Source organism: Homo sapiens, chromosome 1 (genome assembly GCF_000001405.40).
Source record: "Homo sapiens chromosome 1, GRCh38.p14 Primary Assembly".
NCBI classification, from domain to species: domain Eukaryota; kingdom Metazoa; phylum Chordata; class Mammalia; order Primates; family Hominidae; genus Homo; species Homo sapiens.
This window is the reverse complement of record NC_000001.11, coordinates 93,768,678-93,786,504: the sequence shown is the minus strand read 5'-3', so window position 1 is coordinate 93,786,504 and position 17,827 is coordinate 93,768,678. Positions and strand designations below refer to the sequence as shown.

The 17,827-nt window shown below is 43.4% G+C and overlaps 1 protein-coding gene across 28 annotated transcripts in view, besides 1 other annotated feature; it reads left to right on the top strand.

Moving 5' to 3' along the window:
• The window catches only part of BCAR3 (BCAR3 adaptor protein, NSP family member), a 286,411-nt gene that overhangs the window by 61,647 nt on the left and 206,937 nt on the right, over window positions 1-17,827 (top strand). For 6 of the 28 annotated variants that reach the window (NR_178002.1, NR_178005.1, NR_178014.1 and 3 more), the window contains one exon: window positions 2,314-8,200. The exons of 14 other annotated variants lie outside the window; for them this stretch is intronic. Coding sequence is in view for 2 of the 14 variants with exons in the window: in NM_001412056.1 (NP_001398985.1) it covers window positions 11,242-11,308 (67 nt within the window). In the remaining 12 variants the exon portion in view is untranslated. Of the gene's footprint in view, window positions 1-2,313; window positions 8,201-10,989; window positions 11,309-17,827 lie in introns of those variants that run through there. 8 more of the 28 variants (NR_148965.2, NR_178022.1, NR_178021.1 and 5 more) reach the window with 4 other exon arrangements.
• Window positions 15,605-15,805: a silencer, noted in NCBI's record as "peak324 fragment used in MPRA reporter construct". NCBI's record gives its function as "represses an SCP1 promoter by STARR-seq MPRAs in K562 erythroleukemia cells {active_cell/tissue: K562}" and the evidence as "EXISTENCE:reporter gene assay evidence [ECO:0000049][PMID:32103011]".

The window sequence follows — 17,827 nt, the reverse complement described above, 5'->3', positions numbered from 1 at the left end:
TTAGGCAAGACTGAGCAGGAATGGCTTTGTCTCTGCTCTCCATGGTCTCAGCTGGGGCTACTTAAATGGGAGCTGGAGGACCCACTTTCGAGATAGTTTACTCACATAGCTAGCCAGTTAGAGCTAGCTTTTGGCTAAGAGCCCAGCTAAGTGTGTGAGCTGGGTGCTTTGGTTCCTGTCAACATGGTCCTCTGCACTCCACAGGGGCCTTGGGCTCCCTCATAGTATTGAGGCTGGGTTACAGGTATGAGCATTCCCAGGGAGCAAGGCAGAAATGCATGGCACTTTTTTTTTTTTTTTTTTTTTTTTTTTGAGACGGAGTCTCGCTCTGACGCCCAGGCGGGAGTGCAGTGGCGCGATCTCGGCTCACTGCAAGCTCCGCCTCCCGGGTTCACGCCATTCTCCTGCCTCAGCCTCCCGAGTAGCTGGGACTACAGGCGCCCGCCACCACGCCCGGCTAATTTTTTGTATTTTTAGTAGAGACGGGGTTTCACCGTGTTAGCCAGGATGGTCTTGATCTCCTGACCTCATGATCCGCCCGCCTCGGCCTCCCAAAGTGCTGGGATTACAGGCGTGAGCCACCGCGCCCGGCCGGCACTTTTATGACTTACTAGCTTTGGAAGTCACATCGTATAATTTCCACTATACTATTGTTTCAGGAATTCATAAAGTCCCACTCAGATTCAGGGGAGGAAAAGTAACCTCCACCATTTGATAGAAAAAGTGTCATGGTTACCTTATAAAAATAGCATGTGGATGGGAAATGTTATTGCAGCCATCTTTGGAAAGTACAACCTGTCACCAGACCCTGACCTATTTTGTATTATATCTGTGGGTTTTTCTTAAAAGCATTAATGATGCATATTCACTAGTTAATTATTGTTGGTTCTATTCCATCTCATTTTATCCTTCTCACAATCCTGTGATATAGCTAGATCTTTTTGTATACATCCAAATATGGTTCACAGACATGTTTGGTATAGCTAGCACATTATTTTAAAAATTGTGAATTCTTACGTATTTGAATTTCTGGCTTCTCTTCACAATCATAAGATTGGATAAACCTAGGCCAAGCTTTCCTCCTATCAGCAGTGAGCTGGAGCTGAGTAGTGGTGGTTCCCTTAGTAAAACCCTGTCTTCTGTTTGCTGCAGTCCCCACCACTCCCTGTTACCACTTAACTCATTACATTTTATGTCTGACAAGCATTTGACTTTGAGGTTTTCCACCTTAGAAAAAATAGGCCCAGATTCTACTATGGAAAATTGTAATAGCCTACCCTTCATTTGGTGTTTCCAAAGTACTTGCTATAGAAAGCTACATTTTGGGGTTTCTTTTTTAATCCTCTCTCTCATTTGGGGAGACCATCAGGTTGCTGTTTCTTGTTTGAAGGACACCTTCAGCTGTCCACTGACTGAAATGAATGATATGCCCCAACTCCCAGAATGGCCCAGCTGCCCAGTTCTAGCCCTTCCCTTCCAGGCTGGCCCTTTTGGGGATCCCCAAGGTGGAGCAGAACTCTCCTTAATCCCTTAAATTTGCTCTTTTCACTGCCTGACCAACATTGGATCCTTATAACTTGGAATTCTCAACAGGAGTAAGGGAAGCTCATACAGGGAGCACCAACGTCAAAGTTTCCTAACACCACAATCTTGCCTAGAGCTAAGTCTGCACACAAAGACCTCCTCTCTGGAAGATAAGTGCCCAGTGTTCATCCACTGTTCAGAACCAATTCTCAATATTCCTAATGTCACAATGCTCGCTTTGTCCTTTCAAAGGCTCTTGATTTTGTTTCCAAAATGTCAACAGATAACTCTAAGTGTTGATTAAACAAGCAAGAGCATTGCCTAGGGAGAGCATTTGGCTGCGCAGTCTTCATCAAGCCCACTAGAGAAGCTCCAGCCTGCACAGAAAGGACAGTCTGGGCCTGACTAGGCAACTCTATCAGATAATCAGGACACTTTCTTCCCCTTTGGCTCTTGGGTTTTTCTTTAGCTCTTTCATGCTGGGGGAACTGCTCACCCTCAGCACTGCTGGCACTTAGGAGTAGGAAAGGTCTGTGGTTTTACTCCTCTTAACCTTCTGAGTAGTCTCTGCCACCAAATTAGGACATTCTGGGGCAGGCAGTTCCCCCACTTGATCCTGCTCCATCACATTCCCTGTCCTCACCTCATCAATAACCATAATCCTAAATTTTAGGTTTATTCCCTTACTGTTCATTAGAGATTTTACTATCTATTCTGGATATCTGTTGCTTAACAAAATGCCCCAAAATTTAGTGGTGTCAATCTTTTTTTTTTTTTTTTTCTTTACAGATCCATTATTTGGGCAGGATTCTGTAGGGAAAACTCATCACCACTTCATATAGCATCAGCCATGCGGCTCAACTGAGGGCTGTTGGATCCACTTCTAAGATGACTCACTGCTGGCTGGCTGTTAATGCTGGGTTGAGGCCCTGGGGCCTTGGTTTGTCTCCACATTGGCCTCTCCATTAGGCCTGGACTTCCTCACAAAATGGTGGATGAGTTCTAAGGGTAAACATCGCAAGAGAGAAAACCAGACAAGAGAGCAAAACTTGCCTTTTGTGACCTAGCCTCAGAAATCACATAGTGTCTATTAATTGAAGCAGTCCCAAAGTCCCACCTGGGTTCAAGGGGAGGAGATACTGACTACACTGTCCTTGATGGGAGGGTGGTAAGATTCTGGAAGAGAGATGGGACCAGAAATGTTGTTGCAGCCATTTTGGGGAAGTGCAATCTACCACAACGCATATGTATGTACTCCTAGGCAATATGCTATTTAATTTTGCATGTTTTACGCTTTATAGAAACATCCATACTGAATATGTTTTTCTACAACTTTGTTCCCTCAACATTTATGAGTCGCTTATATTTTTGGAGTTCATTTATTTTTAGAATTGTATAATATTTCATTGCAATTATTTGCTACAATTTAGTTCTCTGTTATTTTGGTGAATGTTTGTGCTCTTTCTATATGTTTCCAACCCTTTTTTTCTATATATTTATGCTTTTTGCTATTTTGTACAGCTGCTCTGAACATTCTCATAGAACTTTGCACATGAGCCTAGGGCAAGAATTATCAACCAGTGTGATTTTTAGCAATGTCAGAGGCATTTAGCAAATGTCCTACACATTTTTTATTTTTATGACTGGAGTAGGAAGCGTTGGTACTGACATCTGGCAGGTAGAGGCTATGGATGTTGCTAAATATCCTACAGGAAAGCCCCCTATAACGATTAGCTGGTCCAACATGTCAATAGTGCTGAGATTGAAAAATCCTAGCTTAGGGTATATATGGAGGAGTAGAATTCTCACTCAATGATAGGATATTCACAGTTTCAACTTTATTATATAATACTAAATTGTTTACCCAAGTGGTTGAGCAAGTCTATACTCCTACCAAAGGGAGGCTCCACATCCTCTGATATTGTCAATCTTCTTAGATTTTGCCAGTTCATGTTTTTTTCCTTCTGAAATGCACATTTGTGTGCTTTGTCCATTTTTATAGAGTAAATGTTTATAGGATTGATTTGTAGGCATTATTTATATATTCTGGATACTAATTCTTTGTTGGTTGTATGTGTTGAAAATATCTCCTCCCAGTCTGTGGCTTATCCTCTCACTTCTTCCTGGTTCTTTTGATGAACAGATGTTCTTAAGCTTCATGTAGTTAAATCCATCAATCGTATACTATCCATCAGGCTTGTGATTTAGGGTCATTATTTAAGAAAGAATGTCCTGCCCTGAGGTTATCATTGCTTCCCAAGCCTGGCAGCATTTTGGGGTTTTATCTTTTCCAGCTGGCAAGACCTGGAGTTCCTCTTGCTGACCCCAGAGGTGCCTGGCCTTCCTTATCCTCCACTGTTTGCTCAGTCCTTATGAACACTCAGATTGTATTTCCTAATGTACTCCATTTTCTCTGTTGGGCTCTTTCTACAACCTCTGTAGCCCTCTCTACCCAGGACTGGACTCTACTGTCTCGGGACTGGCCTCAAAATGAACTGACTTCTCTGGAACCACAGTGCCCCACTTAGTATCAGCACTGCTGAAGATGTCCCTTAGAGATTAGCCATGGCAGGATTGAGCCCCAGTTTTCTAAAGTACTTGGATGGTTTCATTTGCACTCATGTGGGGTATTCTCCTCTAGGGCTAAAATCAAAAATGGGGCAAAGCTGAAGATGCCAAGTGGTCCCCAGGAACATTACTGCTCACAGGAGGGACACCCCAAGATGAGCATATCTGCTCTGACCACATACCTTCTAGCCAGGCCTATCTACCCAGGGCCCCTCAGAACCGACCATGATTAAAGGACAGCCTTGGTGTGATCTGCTCCATCCAGGGAAATCATTCAGAGTTAATTTTGCTTCCTTTTCCCTCCATTCCGGTTCTGTCCACATCCTGACTTCTGATATGTCCTCCCTTCTGGATCCTTCTCCCATCCTTTAGACTTCACATTGATCTGGGTTTCCCTGGCTTTGACACTCAGTAAGGGCTTTGGGCAAAACCCACCTTTTGGTTCCAGCAGCTCCTGTTTGCCCCAAGAAAGGCACCTTATCCTAGCTCAAGTCATGATGACCCAAACCCAAGGACCTAGATAAAGTTGAAGAGATATGATTCCAGGTGCCTAATCTGAACAGTTGTCGAGCTTGGGAGAAGATAAATCTTAAAGTGGGGAACAGGGAGAAGGTAAAAGTAAGAATCTAAAAACCCAAACAGCAGGAAGAGATAGGAAAGTAGACAGGCATAGGAGGATTTGAGAACCCAAAATGTATGCCTATGATGCAGAGCCAGCATGGGAGGCATTATAATGGCTGAGAACTTGGGCTTTGTAGATAGGCAAGGATCTCCTCACCTTACTAGTTGTGCGACCTCAGGCAGGTTATCCTCCCAGAGCCCTGTTTTCATCATCTGTAAAGTAGGGCTGGTGTAATAACTTGCTCAATTGTATGAAGATTAAATGATAAGTATGTAAAGCATTTGCATAGTATTTTACACTATGTTCAAAATGATGGGCATTATCAATATTAATTGATGTTAATATTAATATTCATGGACTAATGAACAGAGGACCCGCTGCCCGGTTCCTTTATGGCTGTTCTGGCACACACTGAGGGTCAGCAAATTACGGCCTGTGTATCAAATCCAGGTTGTTGGCCATGTGGCCCATGAGCTAAAAGTGGTTTTTACATTTGTAAATGGTTGAAAAAAATCAAAAGAAGAGTATTATTTCATGTGTGAAAATAACATGAAATTCAAATTTCAGTGTCCATAGAGTTTTACTGGAACATAGCCATGGTTGTTTCTTTTGTATTGTCTTATTTTCTGCCTCTCCAAGAAAGCTTGCTGACTCCTGGCATAGGCCAAGTGGACTAGGGGCAGGTGCTTTAGTCAGCTGGACCTTGGAGAACTGGGCAATCTCCTCCACTCCACAGCTCTATACATGGTGGCTGCCCTTCTTTTCCTACTGGCCCTCCCCTGGGGTTCCAGAGTACCTTTTGTTCAAGCCAGCCCCACTTGACCCAGGGCACTGGGATCTAGATTTCTGAACAATGAGCCAAATCATTGCAGAATCATAGGGGGAATCAGGACAAGGCTGTTTTGAGATTAAAATGAAATAAAATATGTGAAAGTACTTTGTAAATGCAAAGGATGTTATTATTTAGCAAGTAATGGTTAAGGGGTATCAGTGAGGTTTTTTACTCTTCTTAGTAAATTTAGTAATGTATGTTATGTTCACTTTTAACAAAATGTATTATTAACCAGAATACCCTAATTTCTGTCCAGATCAAAAAAGATTTTAAACCAAATGAAACCATCCACAATGCATGTCAAACGCACCCCCAAAATGGAGTTTTGAGCTTCTAGCCCTTTCTGCAAAGAAAATCCTGGCTCCTCCATCTTGTTTTTTTTTTTTTTCCTCTCCTCTTCACTTCCTGTTTACCATCTCCATTTTCTTTTCCAGTCTCTGTGCCTGTGCTTTGGGCCACTTGATTGCTTTGGGTGGCCAGAGTAGAGAGCAGATGAATGTCATTGTGTTTGAAGAAGCCAAGGAAATGTGACAGAAGAGTTTTAAGAGAATCATCAGCCCAGTGTAGACATTTCAAGTGATGTTAAGAGTTGGAGTGGAAGAAACATTATGAGTCAATTCCTCAGTCACTATTATGGGATAACCAGGATTTGGTAGGAAAAGCAGAAGGAAGAGGTAGATGGCATAAGAATCAAAGATCATTTGTACAAAGGAGAGTTGAGCAAAGTATCAGGGGAGCTAGGACAATGCTGATCGCTTCTGAGTCCCCACAGGATGTGGGAAAATGAGCAGCCTTCCATGAAAAAGGTGGCAAAGGAAGGCCACAGAGGAGTCCTGTAAGGGAACAGAAAAGAAAAGGCTGAGGTTTGGGTGTTGTCTACCTTAAGCAGGCCCTGAGGGTGGGAGGGAATTCCAGGAGCAGTGGGGGATGAGGTCAGTGGGAAGGAGGTTGGAAACAATGTGGGTTTGAGGATGAGAAGACATGTCCTGAGGGGTTTACCTTTTGGGTGGAGGCCAAGGGCAACAGGAACCGGAGTCACCTAGGATTAGCTGGTCCCAAATTGTAAATGAAGCACTGGGGTCATGTTGTTCACATCCTGGGATTGGGGGAGGAGGGAAGAGGTGGGCATGAGAGGCCCTGCTGGGCTGGAGGTGGGTATTGCAGCTGCCACATACCATTCCCTTGCTGCAAAATCCTTTAGCAGAATGTCTGCTATCCAGGAGTACGTGCATTGTTAAGTTTGTTCTCATTTCCTGAACAACTTACGCACTAAGCAATTACTTAAAGCGCTGAAGGAAGAGGCTCAGGTTTCTAATGACATTCTGTCAACATGACTAATGCTACCCTGGAACACCCTTCCCCTAGGTATCTGCATGGCTCACTTTCTTTTTCAACCAAGTTTCCCTCAAAGAGGGGTCTTCTCTGATCCCAATACCCAAATAGCCCTACTCATCACTCACTATCCTCTTGCCATGCTTTATTTTTCTTCATTTTACTTATGTCCACCGACTCATCCTTATTTGTTTATTAGTTGGTACCTGTCATTCTCACTAGAATGTAAGCCACATGAGGTTAGGAGTTTCCTTTTGTTCTCTACCCTATTCTCCACTGCTGAAAATAGTGCCTGGCATACAACACAGCTCAATAAACAGCTGTGGGCAAATGAATGAATGAATGACTTGGCCCTGGCCAAGTCATTGGACCTCAGGAATGGCATCTTTCAATTAGAAGTTGTTGCTACTCTAACGATTTTGTTAATCATTAGGTGGCCTATCTTCACCATGCTTCCTATACAAAAGTGAATTGCCTAAAACTCAGCATCGGCGCTTCTCCCTCAAAGTTTTAGACAATAAACTCTGACTGTTTGAAACTCAGCTGTTTGCCTTCACCACTCCTCCTCCCATCTTGCCTCCTCCCATCCTCCTCAACTGCTTTTTCTGATGTTGGCCAAGATATCAGAACCTGAGATTAGTATCAGAAAATTGAGCTCCTACCATGACCCCACACCAAAGCTTGAGGCTTTCAATAACAAAGACAGACACCCTCCTTTCTCCAAGAGCCTATATATTGTGAGGGAATTGATAATTAAATATGTGATTGTATAATGGTTTAATGAGAACCACAACAGGGGAGGTGCTACCTTCAGAAAGGCTTCCCTCGAGAAATGATACCTGAGTATTAAACTGCAGGATGAGTAGGATTCAGCTGAGCAAAGAAGGGTTGGAGAAAAGTAGACAGCAGGGAAAATCCCTGATCCTAGAGAAGTGGGTCTTGTTGGAGGAGCCAGAACTGGCAGGTGGCTGGGAACCCAGTAGGAGGTGTGAGTAGTGGGTAAAACCAGGGCTGCAACAAGCGTTAGAAACAGATTATCCTAAGGCAAAAATAACTCCCTTTCACTGCTGCTGCTGGTTTGGTTGGCAAAAGGAAAAAAAAAAGGACTCCATGATTTTAGTAATCAGATTGCTGGTAATAATATTGGTATTATTATTCTGATACTATTCACTATATATATAATAGGATAGAGCAAATAAGTAATTAGGCTAATGTTGATAGAAACCAAGATTCTTCACCATAAGAGATGCAAATATAAAATTTTTAAAATTGTAAAAATTCTGTAATTTTAAATTTGAATAAAATATATTAGTGTAAACTAATGATACATTTTCTTATCTTAAATCTGTTTCCTATCTCTGACCACTATTAAGGCCTAGAAACAATGACCAGTCAAATGCAGTCCATGCCCCTAGTACCGGTTTGTAGTCTCTAAATTATGCTTCCCACCAAATGGAACCAGGGTTTATTTCAGAAATGGATGGTCCAGAGGAGGAATTGCATATGATGAAGCTTAAACACCATGATATACCAGATAGTGAGGGAAGTGTCAGAGATCCCTGGGGTCATGTCAACAGGACTCAGAAGTCAACTTGTCAAGGCTCTCACTGGCCACAAATGGGACAATGTTAATATGAATAAGAATAACTAAAAAGGACTGAAATCCACATGAATTCTGTTGGAAATTCACAAGTTTATAATGATGTTCAAAAAAGAAAAATAAAGACCATTGTTCACCTTTGGATAATACTGGGGAACCAACTCATTATTCTGAAAACAGGAAAGCAAAGCAAAGGAATCTACATTTGCCATATAAATTGAACCTCAGGGTAACCAAATAGTGGAGAAGGGAATGTTTCTTTCTATAGGAGTATTCCAGCCAATAATTTAGAAGAAATATTGGGCCAGGTGTGGTGGCTCATGCCTGTAATCCCAGCACTCTGAGAGGCCAAGGCAGGAGGATTGTTTGAGCCCAGGAGTTTGCCACCAGCCTGGGCAACCTAGCGAGACCCCCATCTCTACAAAAAAAAATTTTAAATTAGCCAGGCACAGTGGTGCATGCCCGTGGAGGAGGAGGAGGAGGAAGAGGAGAAGGAAAGAAGAAGAGGAAGAGGTGGAGGAGGAGGAGGTGGAGGAAGAGGAAGGAGGAGGAGGAAGAAGAGGAGGAGGAAGAGGAGGAGGAGGAAGAGGAGGAGGAGGAAGAGGAGGAGGAAGAGGAGGAGGAAGAGGAAGAAGAGGAAGAAGAAGAGGAGGAAGAAGAAGAAGAGGAGGAAGAAGAAAGCAGAAGAAATATTATTTGCAAGCTCTTAAATAAATAATAATTCTGGGTATCAATAATTGTATTAGTTTCCTATGGCTGCCATAACAATGTACCACAAACCAGGTGGCTTAAAACAACAGAAATTTATTGTCTCGCAGCTCTGGAGGCTGAAATCAGAAATCAAAATACTGACAGGGCTGTGTTCCTCTGAAGCCTCTAGAAAAGAATTCTTCCTTTTGTTTGCCAGCAAGCAATCCTCAGCATTCCTCTGCTTGTAGAACCATCACTCCCTTCTCTGCCTCCATGGTCACATGGCTGTCTTCTCCCTGTGTCTATCTGTGTTCAAATTGTCCTCTTATAAGGACTGAATCAAGGCCCACCCTAATCCAGTATGACCTCATTTTAACCTGATTCCATCTGTAAGAACCCTGTTTCCAAATGAGGTCACGATCACAGGCACAGCGTTGGTGGGTAAATGTTCAACATATCCTTTTGGGGAACATAGTTCAACCCGTAATAATCATCAAGGGCAGCCTAGATCACAAATAGGAAGACATAAGACTTTATTTTCTGGCAGAGCATACCACCTATTGGCAAAGAATTAGACATAAATCAGAGTAAGTCTAGATCTACCTACCAATTTACAGGAAGTAGAGAGTACAAAAAGGCATGTTAAAAAATACCACAGGCAGTAGAATCAGCAAGATCCAGAATGTGGGAAACTCTACAGGACTAATAACTTGGTTTCTTCAACAAATAAATTGCAAGGAAATTCCAGGAGAGAGCTCTGTAAATTATAATAAAATGGACATAATAGACGTAACAACCAAATACAATATATAGATTTTGTTTGAAAATTTGAATACTTACTAGATATTTAATAAAATAATGGCTTATCGACAGTTTAAAAAACTTAATTATATTGTGGTAATGTTTACAAAGGGGAGAGTCTTTAACTTACAGTAGTACATTTCCGCAGATAAAATGGCATGTTTGGGGGTGGGAAGACAGTAGGGCGTGGGTTGGCTATGAAACAAAGTTAGCCAAGTTAATTAATGAAACTTGGTGGTGGGGACATGGGGGTTCATTATATTATTATCTCTGCTTCATATGCGGACATTTTCTATCCTATAAAATTAGAAAGAATTAACATGCAGTATGTTTAGTTAATGCTTCTCAGCTTGGGAAGTATCAGAACCTACCAGATACTGCTGAGGATACCTCCCTCCCTCAGCCTCATTGAGATCTTCTATTCTAGATACTTTCCTAGGAAATTGAGTTTCTCTTTTCAAACTTATTCACTGCAGCTTGATTGCTGATGGAAACCTTTTGTTTGCTGGAAGCTACTGGCTAGCTGACGAGAATACTTTTCATTAGGCAAGAAAGGAATTTTTCAAAACCCCTTTTATTATAAAAGTCCTAGGTACATACAGAGTCAAAAAGAAAATTCAAAAAGTGCAGAAAAATTAAGATCACTCCTCCCCAGTTCTACTTCCTGGAGTCTTCACTGCTTCAAGTTTCTTGTGAATTGCTCCAGACATTTTTCTAAGCATATACAAAAATAAGCATGATTTGGACCTTTCTGTAAGCCTAAGTATGTTTGCAACTTCGCTTTTTTTCCACCCAGCAATATATCTTAGAGACATTTTCATAGCAGCAAATACACATCCTCCTCTTTTTTATTCCATTATGTGGAAAATCGTATTTATTTCAAATTGGTCCCTGAATGGCAGGCACTTTTTTTCCAGTGATTTCCTCTTAGAGATAATGCTGCCATGCACCTTCTTGAACACATATAGAAAATGAATTTTTTAAAAAATATGCATCTCTTAAAAAAGCCCTTCCTTTCAGCTCAGGACAGGAAGTGCCCTATGATATGAAGCAAGCACACAACAAACCTCCTGGACCTGTCCGCATCACACTGTGACTCACCAGCCGCGCGCGTGCTGGGCAGGTAGAGGCTGGAGCGGTCAGGAGCATGCCTGGCTCCTGGTGCCTCTCTATGGAGAGCACCTCTGTGCCTCTCTGAGAGCACTCACAGCCAAAAGTACACAGCTGCCCCCAGGCTGAGAGTGCTTGATACACCCTTGAATCCCCTCTTATATGATGCCCCAGCCCAGGAGAGATAAAAGCATCAGCACCATGAGATTCACCTGCCTCTGGTCGTTAGGTAAGTTCACAGGCACTAGCGTTGAAAGATTCTAGGACTGAGGGATGTTAAACTCAATTAAATTTACCTGGACGCAGCAATTGCTTAGCTGGTGGTGTGTCCAAGTTAAGAAACTAAAATGCTAATGTGTAGCACCAGTGCCTCTGATGGCTTAGTGGCTTCTCTGAAAGTGGGTAACCAGAGTAAGATTTTATTTTAGCTTACTTTTTAGCTTACTCTATTTTGTTTAAAAATGTGGTTTGTGTTTAATCCTCTGGAAGTCCTCTGTGTCAGCATGGCTTTTCTTTCCTGCTGTGTGGGACTTTATACAAGACATCTCTTGCCAGATTTTGGAATTCCCTGGCAAGGAAGAGAGGCAATTTGAGTAACCTGGCCACAGACAAATACATTTCACTTCAGCAAAGCTTTTCAGATGTCATTGAAGATGTGTGAGAAACCAGATAGAAAGCTATAGAAAATGCTCTTTGAAAAAGTATTCCCTCATTGACTGCTTAGTGAAGCTCTTGCCATACGATCTCCTGAATGGGATAGATAACTTCAGGTCGTTGCTTTGCCAAGGAGAGGTTTGTTAGACCATAGGGACAGGGCTTGGGTGATGGTCAACTGTCTCAGTACAGGCTATGTGGGGCCTCCTTTACAGCTTCAACAATAAGTATCAAGGCTAGGGTCAAAATGTACATAGTTTGGTTTGCTTGTCTTTTTTTTTTTTTTTTGAAACAGAATCTCGCTCTGTTGATCAGGCTGGAGTGCAGTGGTCCGATCTCGGCTCACTGCAACCTCTGCCTCCTGGGTTCAAGCGATTCTCCTGCCTCAGACTCCTGAGTGGCTGGGACTACAGGTGCACGCCACCACGCCCGGCTAATTTTTGTATTTTTAGCAGAGGCAAGGTTTCACCATGTTGACCAGGATGGTCTCGATCTCCTGACCTCATCATCCACCCACCTCGGCCTCCCAAAAGTGCTGGGATTACAGGCATGAGCCACTGTGCCCTGCTGCTTGTCCTTTTTAAAATAATGCTCATGTGCCTGTTTGAAAAGTCAATGCTGGCTTACGTAGTTTCTCCCTGAAGAGTATATTTTGGAGTTACTCCTGATTGCTCTTAACTTCCTTTGTGAAATGTGGCCAATTGATAGTTATTCGAAGACAAGCATATGCTTACTTTAAAGGGACCAACAAAGTTCTTGATCATCTGACAACTTTGTTGTTTCAATAACAGCATTTGGCTTACAAATAAGGCTACTCAGAAATCACCATTTTAGTGGGACTTGAGGAGGGGATTCAAGTAGGGAATAGAGAAGGAGTTGAGTAAAAGTCCTGAGGCCAACACAAGAGATGCAGGATGAGCTGGCTAGAAGGAGAAGGCTGTTCTGTTTTTTATTTTTAAAAAAAGGAGCATTAATATAAAGAAAACATAAGAAAAAAAGAGCTAATGGAGGTGTGGTGGCTGGGGTGGGGGAATGGACTAACCTAAGAGGTCCTGGTCAGGCTGGGACAGAGCTTTGGACACAGTTCACTGCTGATTCCCAGCACCATGTGGAAATCCAGTCCTATACTTTATAGGCACTGGGCACTAGCTGATTGTGCAACTGGAACCTGGTCTAAGACTTTCATGAGCAGGGTCCAATCACCAGGTTTCATGGGGCTATGGAAATAAATCCTGACCAGAGATCAAGTGGATTAGGACCCAGGAGACAGGCACTGATTCTTAGGAAATCATCCAGGGAAGCTTTCTGTCTGCCCCCCTCCCCTTCCCACCTGCACAGGGGTGTCCCATTTCCTGTCCAGTCTCCCTAAACAGCATTTATGTTCTGAACTAGTTCAGCTCCATAGAGAAGCTTTTGTTAAGCATTCATTAGCTTGTAAGATTTTTTTTTCACCTATGAAATTCTCTCAAGTCTTTTGACATTGTCAAGTGCCACAATGATTGGTTTGAACAACTGTGACTTTCAGCTGCCTGAAGACTTGTAATGCCATCCCTGTGGATTGTAGATTCAAACGCAGGCATCTTTTAGTCAACAGGAGGAAACATGAGAAAGGGACGTAGGGTCCTCTCTCCCTGCCTTTGGGGTCTGCAAGCTAAAACCTGTTTTTCCAACTAACCTATCAATCTTCTAGTCAATCTTGATTCTAGTTCCTGTAAACAGATCAATTTCCTAGAGAGACAGAATACCAGGGTGCCTGGTTTAGGAGTCAGAAAATCTGGGTTCAGTATTGTCCCTACCACCAATGACTATCCATGGCCCTTCAGCAAATCTTTCAGTACTTCCCCTTAAGTAAAAAAGAAGAGGTTGATGGCCGGGTGTGGTGGCTCACACCTGTAGTCCCAGCACTTTGGGAGGCTGAGGTGGGCGGATCAAGAGGTCAAGAGATAGAGACCATCCTTGTCAACATGGTGAAACCCCATCTCTGTTAAAAATACAAAAATTAGCTGGGCGTGGTGGCGCATTCCTGTAGTTCCAGCTACTCAGGAGGCTGAGGACAGGAGAATTGCTTAAACCCGGCAGGTGCAGGTTGCAATGAGCCAAGATCACGCCACTGCACTCCAGCCTTGGGGACAGAGTGAGATTCCATCTCAAAAAAACAATAAATAAAGAAAACAGAAAGAAAAAAAGAAAAAGTTGGATCAAGATGCACAAAGATTTCAATACCCCAAAAGGAAGAGCTGAAACTAACAAGATTAGATTTAAAACAGTTAGTTGCAGAGATAGATGCTGGGAAAGAGCTAACCCTGCTATTCCTATAGAAAAGGCTCTGTTGCCCAGAGCTGAATGTGAAACAAGAGTGAGCTATGGCTGCTGGTATAGCTCACCATCACTGGCAGCATTGATAGAAGCTAGGAGGTTAGAGGCCTGCTTTACTGTGCCCTGGTCTGGCCATGGCATATCCTGCCCCCAGTCTCACATTTGCCTCCAATCCTCTCTCCAACTTGTAGTCAGAGTGATTTTTCTTAAAATCCAAATTTGATTGTGTCACTCTCCTGCTTAAAAGCCTTCAGTGGCTTTCCATTGCCCTCAGCATAGAATCTCATACAATGTCCCTTGTGATTTGGCCCCTGCTGACGTCTCCAGACTATCTCTTGTACTCCACTGATCCATGACCCTCACCTCTGATGAGGCTAGAACAAATCATATTTCACTTGTTCCCTTTGAAATGCCTAGCCTTCCGTTGACATTATGAGAGGTGTAATAACTCACCTTCTTGCCAAGGGCTGCCAGGAGGAAGTGGGATATGATTTGCTCTGGCCACAGCAGAGGGCACAAATAGTATCTCTGGTGGGAGGGAGATGGACATGGTGCAATCTTAGAAGCAGCTTTGGAAAATGCTATGATGTGCTATATTTGGGTACATTTGGTAGAGGAAGGGTGTATTGTGGAGAAGGGATAGCTTCCTGGTGACCCAAGGAGCAATCTGGCCCTAAAAGGCCTCAGCACCTTCTCAGGAATGTGGTTGGAAGGATTCTTGTGTTGCGTGAGGTGTTCATATAGATAAAATATTAAAGATCCTGCAGAGTATGGATTCTAAGATCTGCAGGTCCCTGACAGCTCTAAAACATCACACAATTTAGAAAACTAAACAGACATTCTAACTTATGACTTATTTTCCTTAGCAGCTTCTAGGTATTTACCTATTCCAAATCTGCCCTTGATGCCTGGTTCACTTCATTGTTCCACTGGGAAAGGAAAAAGAGACATAGAGACGTTATATAACTTGTTGTAGTTTTTGCAGGTAATAATAAGAGGCAGAGTCTTAATAGGAAACAGAACTCTCAGTTCCTAGGCACTAAAGCAGATGCTTTTCCAGGTCCTTGATGACTTCATGTGCCAAGTTGCCCTATGTCGTGTCTCTTACCATTTACAATTCATGCCTGAATTCCATGTATAAAATTCAAGAACACAACTCTGACAGGGTGGCTGTGGGTATGGGCTCTGGAATTAGATTGCCTGTGTAACCTCAGAAAAAGTCACTTAATTTTGCTGTTTCTCCTATTTCAGCATCTCTCAGTTTCCTCATCTTTCCATTTCTCCATCAATAAAATGGATATAATAATGGAATTAACCTTGTAGGGTTGTTATAAGGATAAAATGAGAACACAGTACATGGGTATAGTAAATGCTTAATAAACATTAGCTAGTATTATTAGTACTGGATAAGGACTGGATTGGAAATAAAGATAATTGATTTATCATTCCCTTGTGAAAGGTATAGTACAGTGGTCTTCAGACTATTTTCTGTGTAACCTCAGAAGTTCCTCAGAGCTTCCACTGAGAGCCGGGACTGGGTTTAATGGGTGAGAGATGACACCACTTGCATAGATGAAATAAATGGGGTGGGAGTGTGCACCAAAATGGTGCTCCTGTGCTGCTGTCTGTGGTCCTGAAATACAATTTGTTAGTAGGACCTAGCTAATTCTCTAGAAAACTGGTGGGTACTCTATTGCCCCATGTCTTTCCTCCCTCCCTAGTAACTCCTTGCCTATGACTAGTTCTCCCACCAACGACTATTTGGATAAATTGTTGATAACCTATTGAAGCATTAGTTTCCTTATATTTTAATATAGGTATTTTCTACCCACCCCCTCTGTATGTTCATGGGGATGCTCCCAGGTTATGTGCCATCCTATATATATAAACTCCTCCCTCAATGCCTGCCTGAGGGACATAGTCAGAAAGGGACAACATAGTGGCAACAAAAAAATGTTTGCCTCTGAGCTCCCTCCTAGTAGAGTCACTGGAACCCCAAGCCCACTGAAGGCATAGCCCAGTTTCTACTTGCAGAGTCCCAGGGGGCCCACATAGATTTTTAGCAATCATTCAAGTTTTTCTGAGGCCAGGATCAGAGCAGAGGCACTCTCTTCACTGTCTCCTGGTGGCCTACGTGAGCTGTCATTGCCTCTGCCATTACTGATGCTGTACCTCCTTTCTGGTAGTCCTTATGGTGGGGACAGGGCAGGGCACTCCCCCAGCAGCTCTTCCGTTAGATGCCTCGAAGTATTCTCTTGCTGTTTCAACTTAAAATCTTCTCGACCAAGGACTTGGGATTGATCTCCAGTGGAGCCTGGGCCAAGTGACAGTTGAGCCACCTTCTGTCCCCCACTATCTTGCTGAAAAGCCTTTCCCCTTTCTGTCTCATAAGCCCAGACAGTGCAATCCATCACTGTCCCAGGATAAAGTCCAGCCTCCACTGGGCCCTCCCCAGGGAAGACAGAGGGGATGCGCTGCTTTTGTCCTCTTTCTTGGTGTCAGGGTTTTATCTGACATCCTGCAGCTCAGCTACATTCCCAACACCCTCATCAAGTAACTCTCCTGGTGGCCCACAAGTGGGTCTCCTAAGGGCATCCTGTCAGCTGAGCTCCCTCTGGGATTCCCAATCCAGGATATGAAAGTTCTGCACCAGAGGAGTTCTCCACATTGATGGAGTATTATTATGAGGAAAGAGTTGGAAAAAATTTTCCTTTTCATAGATTCACAAAGCAGAAAAGCATGCTTGGTGTTGATTTGGCCCATCTTTCTGGCTCCAAGTGGGGTTAAACTCGAACAGTAATTCTTCAAACTTAGAGAGAAAGAGAGGAAAACACCTCCCAGAGATTGAAATGCAAAAACACTCCCTTCTAAGTTGGAGGGTTTTTTTTTTCTCCTAGTGGCCACACAAATTCTCTGGTGGTGCAATTTGAGTCCTTTGCCTATTGTTCTGTCCTCAAGGGGAATCAGAGAGAAGATCATAGCCTCTTTAACTATTTCCATCACATTGCATTTCTCTCTGGCTGAGTTCTTCTCCACCCCGCTCCTTGACACACACACACACACACACACACACACACACACACACACACACACACACACATTCCTACCCACATATTTAGTCCTAAACTGTAATCACCTGTGTCCAACTTGGCTCTTGGAAGTGAAGAGGGAGCTCTGTGTTTGCAATACCACGAGCGTATTTTCCCCAAGAGCTGCTTATGCAGCAATCCAGAAATTCCCATTGCTCTGCCTTTTAATTAGTTCAGGGAGTTGCAGCCTAACGGTGTGGGTGTGCTTGCCAGCTGTGCTTTTCGGGAAGTTATATCGTCTGCTGCTCCTTCTGTCTCCTCCCCCAGGGTTGGGAAATTATAGACCCTGCTCTCTTTACCCTGTAAAACCCCAGACGCTCCAGGACCTTTTCCAGCCAGCGCTCAAAGGCCCTTGGGGACAAAGGGCGACACTCAGATCTCAGGTCTTGAAGCCTGCTGTCCTTGAGCAGGGTGGCAGAGATGACCTTTGAACTAAAGGGATTATTTTCATCTGTGACTGTTCAGTCCCCTCGGGTGACCTACCACAGAATCAGTGCTTGCTGGGGACCAGAAGAGGGATTTTATGGCTTGAGGGGTACCTGCATCTCTCCCAGGCAGCGCCCTGTTTGTTTTACAGGCTGCCAGATACCTTATCTCCACGAAATGAGAGGCCTCCAGCATCCCCTCCAGCCCCACTTCCTGCGATATCTCTACTTCCCCACAGGGGCCCTGGGCTGGCTGCATGGCTG